Below are 4,674 nucleotides of genomic sequence, written 5' to 3'. Positions count from 1 at the left end.
CACTGTGGGGCACTATCTTCACATTTTGTGTGATGTCTATAATAATCGAAAATTCTGAAAAGAAAGATGGGATGAGCCAGACAAATTGGAAATAAGCATGTGGGCAAATGCTTACCATCCTCAGCGTTTCAACTACGTTGATTTGAAAATATTAAGAAAACATGTTGGTAATAAGTATAAAAATGACTTAGAAATATTAGAACAGTAGTAGGATGCATGTGATGTGCTTAACATAATCCTTATTATAAACACAATTCTCATCAAATCCATCCTTGTAAATTGGATGACTCTAATACTTTTCTCTACCCTCTGTACATGACATTAAAAATCACCTTCAAAAACATACCTCCCAGAAAATGAATTTAAATAGCAGCTCAACAGAGATCAGAAATATATCCTTTCTTTTTAGTTGGAAGATGTAGTCCTTCTGATGCAGGTGAGTGTGAGAGGTGAAGGCAGATTCAACTTTACTTGTACCCAACACTTCCACATCTTAAATTCACATTTAAAGGATTATATTTTTAGCATTTTGCAGGTATTAACTGGAAAATGTGTACACTTTGACAAGTGTCATCCTGCAAATGTATCTTTTTTTATTTTTCAATATTTTATTTTTTTACTTTAATTTTTTTTTCATTATACTTTAAGTTCTGGGATACATGTGCAGAATGTGCAGGTTTGTTACATAGGTATACACGTGCCATGGTGGTTTCCTGCACCCATCAAGCCCTCATCTACATTAGGTATTTCTCCTAATGCTCACCCTCTCCTTGCCCCCCACCCTCCGACAGGCCCCGGTGTGTGATGTTCCCTTCCCTGTGACCATGTGTTCTCGTTGTTCAACTTCCACTTATGAGTGAGAACATGTGCTATTTGGTTTTCTGTTCCTGTGTTAGTTTCCTGTGAATGATGGTTTCCAGCTTCATCCATGTCCCTGCAAAGGACATGAATGCATCCTTTTTTATGGATGCATAGCATTCCATGGTGTATATGTGTCACATTTTCTTTATCTAGCCTATCATTGATGGGCATTTGGGTTGGTTCCAAGTCTTTGGTATTGTGAATAATGCTGCAGTAAACATATGTGTGCATGTGTCTTTGTAGTAGAATGATTTATAATTCTTTGGGTATATACCCAGTAATGGGATTGCTGGGTCAAATGGTATTTCTGGTTCTAGATCCTCGAGGATTTGCCACACTGTCTTCTACAATGGTTGAACTAATTTACACTCCCACCAACGGTGTAAAAGCATTCCTATTTCTCCACATCCTCTCTAGCATCTGTTGTTTCCTGACTTTTTAATGATTGCCATTCTAAACTCATCATCACTGGTCATGAAAGAAATGCAAATCAGCCAGGCGCGGTGGCTCACGCCTGTAATTCCAGTACTTTGGGAGCCCAAAGTGGGCAGATCATGACGTCAAGAGATCAAGACCATCCTGGCCAACATGGTGAAACCCTGTCTCTACTAGAAATACAAAAATTAGCTGGGTGTGGTGGCACACACCTGTAGTCTCAGCTACTCAGGAGGCTGAGGCAGGAGAGTCATTTGAACCCAGGAGGCAGAGGTTGCAGTGAGCTGAGATTGCATCACTGCACTCCATCCTGGAGACAGAGCAAGACTCTGTCTCAAAAAAAAAAAAAAAGAAGTGTATATTAATATAGAGAAAATATTTGTTTACAAGGCTCCCACCAGTTTATACTGTGCCTTTGTACAAATTATCAAAAATCACTTCTCCCCTTCATCTCCCTGGGTAGATGCAAACCTGTGGTTTCACAGGTGGATGAAGGGCAGGGTGCTCTTGTAAGGTAAACAATATATTGAATTATACATAGCTGCTTTGCCTGTCTAACCTCATATAAATCACAATCTCTAATTTTCAGAAGATGTGGGAACAATTTCTAAAATGAAATATGTGAATATATGTGAGACCCAGTTGGAATGAGACTATATTCATAAACATAGGATGCTTTTTAAAAAGTACATTGATAGGTTTTTACTTTTACTATAACAAACACAAGATCATCATTTTACACCTACTAAGCCATTAAGTTCATTAAGGTAGAATTAGAAGAGATAGAAAAAAGAAAGGAGAAAAGAACAATTCTATCTATTCCCACGGTTGGCTATGGTTAAAATGTCATTCTGTACTCTCTTTTCTTCACTTAACATTAAGTAAGGAGCATGTTTCATATCATTCAAAATAAAATAGATTAAAATTTTATTTTAATGATCATTTAATTTGCTAATCATTAATTATTACACATATATTTAATTTAAATAAAATAACTTTCAATAAACTGAGCATTGAATTATGTTTTGTGCTGATATGGTTTCCTTCCAAAATGAAGAAGATAACAACACTGGGAAACAATCTCTCTAGGTTAAAAATGCTTTCTTATTACACATTGCTACTAGGAAGGATATTTTATTATGAAATTTAGTGTCTGATCCCAAGGATTTTAATTTTTATACTCCAATATTACAATTTTAATGGTATAATATAGCCAGGATATATTTACTACTCTATGTAAAACTCAGAAGTTTAAAAAAATTAACAGAATCTCAAGCAAAGATTGCAGAATTGAGAATAACTTTAAAATACACTGCATTTTCTAATCTAGTTAGGATTTAGTTTAAATTGATGAATACTTGAAAGGAGCTCATAAAAATATTACTTGATTGAAAATATTCCTACACAGAAATCTGTGAAAGCAGAGCACTATTGCCAATACTACTTTCATTGTAGTATCTTTGCTTTTGAAAAGCCTTCTTTCTGAAAGATTATTTACACTACTTTCTGAATTTTTTATTTGGAGCATATGTAAAAATACTGAGTCACTTCATCAAAGAAAAAGAAATCTAATTCATTTATTGCTGACTAGTAAACTTTATAGTCGGAAGAACAATTTACAATCTTTTGGGCTGGGCATGGTGGCTTACGCCTGTAATCCCAGCACTTTGGGAGGCTGAGGCAGGCAGATCATGAGATCAGGAGATCGAGACCATCCTGGCTAACATAGTGAAACCCTGTCTCTACTAAAAATACAAAAAAATTAGCCAGGTGTGGTGGCGGGCACCTGTAGTCCCAGCTACTCTGGAGGCTGAGGCAGGAGAATGGCATGAACCCAGGAGATGGAGCTCGCAATGAGCCGAGTTCTCCACTGCACTCCAGCCTGGGCGACAGAGCGAGGTTCCAGCTCAAAAATAAAATAAAATAAAATAAAATAAAATACAATCTTATTAGTTGAAGATAATCTTTTTTAATAAGAAATTTCTTCTTTTAACTTTTCAAGATCCTCTACCCAAATCCAGGTTCAGTGACTGTTCTCAGTGAATATTATCTCTAGCTGTAACCAACTGAAATCATTTTTCAACAGAAAGTCTCTAACAATTAACCAGGTTTTCTCAAAGTTGGCTGACATATTCCCACAGAATTAGCAAGTGCAGAGTGACTGATGAAGCTCCATTTATTCTCAGTCCTCAGGACCTAATAAAAACTAGTGTCAATCAGGTTCCAACAAGGGCCACCACTAATGGCACAAATGCCTATGAAGTCAAGAATATCAGATTTGGCCATAAAGTGTCCAGCCTTTTATTAAAACAAATGAACAATCATCACTTGAACTGTTATGGTCTTCCACCTCAGTGACTAATTGAGATTCATTATTCTGCAAAATGACAAAAGAAGCTCTTCCGTACTCTAAGCTGTAGCCTTTTATTTATGTTACCCAGAGTTTAAGCAAGGATGTGAGCTGGGAGCTCATCAACAACTGCTTTCTGAGGAAAGTCTTCTTTCCCTTCAGGCATTCCCTCTGATGTCTATGTAAGTCCAGCCCACCCACCTGGAAAGTTTAGTTCTAATAACCATGTCAATTACTTTTCTCAGAACACCAACTGAAGCAACATTCAATTTGAAAGTAGTGATCCGAGAAAGATACTTGATCCTTGTCATTTGATCACAGTAGTGAACAACTAACAATTCCCTTCATGATCCTACCTCATGACACCATCATATCAGTATTTCATTAAAGGACAATTTATGAAAAAGCTACATGCTGATTGTTTTTTGTAAAATTCAAAAAAATTCATAAGCTTCTCAGACCAAGTGTTGTTAATGACAATATTGTTACTTTGATCAATATTTTTGGTGACTAACTCCAATGTTGTTAAAAAAAAAAATGCTGCTTTCATCAAGCTGTTGTACCTTGCACAAAATATATACCATTCAACTGACTTGATTTTTTCTAGTACTGTGATTGCAGGCACATTCAGACTAGTTCTCTACTCATCCGTTACTGCTTTGCTTAGCTAAGTGATCCTAGTATCACTGCCCATTTCTCTACAACTGCCTTTTATTGTGTGGTTTTGACTTAACCTCTCCTGCGAGTATAGGTCTTATCTATGCTTTCCTTGTAAGCCAACTCAAATTTCATTTGTAATATACATTTTTTCCCACAATTCTCTTCTGTTTTCTATATCTTTGTATATTAAATGAAAAGATATCTGAAGAGTAAACATTCACATTAACTCCATCTGTTGAACATAATGAAATATCAATAATGCCTTTAAATAAAGTGCTTTAATAAAAGCACTTTATTAGGCTAGAAACATAAGAAAATAATACTTAAGATTTCTTATAACATTTACTTTTAGGGAACTCACTCTTGTT

General features: G+C 35.7%; 1 annotated feature.

The window, feature by feature from the left end:
- Window positions 4,204-4,404: a silencer, noted in NCBI's record as "peak4384 fragment used in MPRA reporter construct". NCBI's record gives its function as "represses an SCP1 promoter by STARR-seq MPRAs in K562 erythroleukemia cells {active_cell/tissue: K562}" and the evidence as "EXISTENCE:reporter gene assay evidence [ECO:0000049][PMID:32103011]".

This window comes from Homo sapiens, chromosome 21 (assembly GCF_000001405.40).
Source record: "Homo sapiens chromosome 21, GRCh38.p14 Primary Assembly".
Taxonomy (NCBI): domain Eukaryota; kingdom Metazoa; phylum Chordata; class Mammalia; order Primates; family Hominidae; genus Homo; species Homo sapiens.
This window is presented reverse-complemented; position numbering and strand designations above follow the sequence as displayed.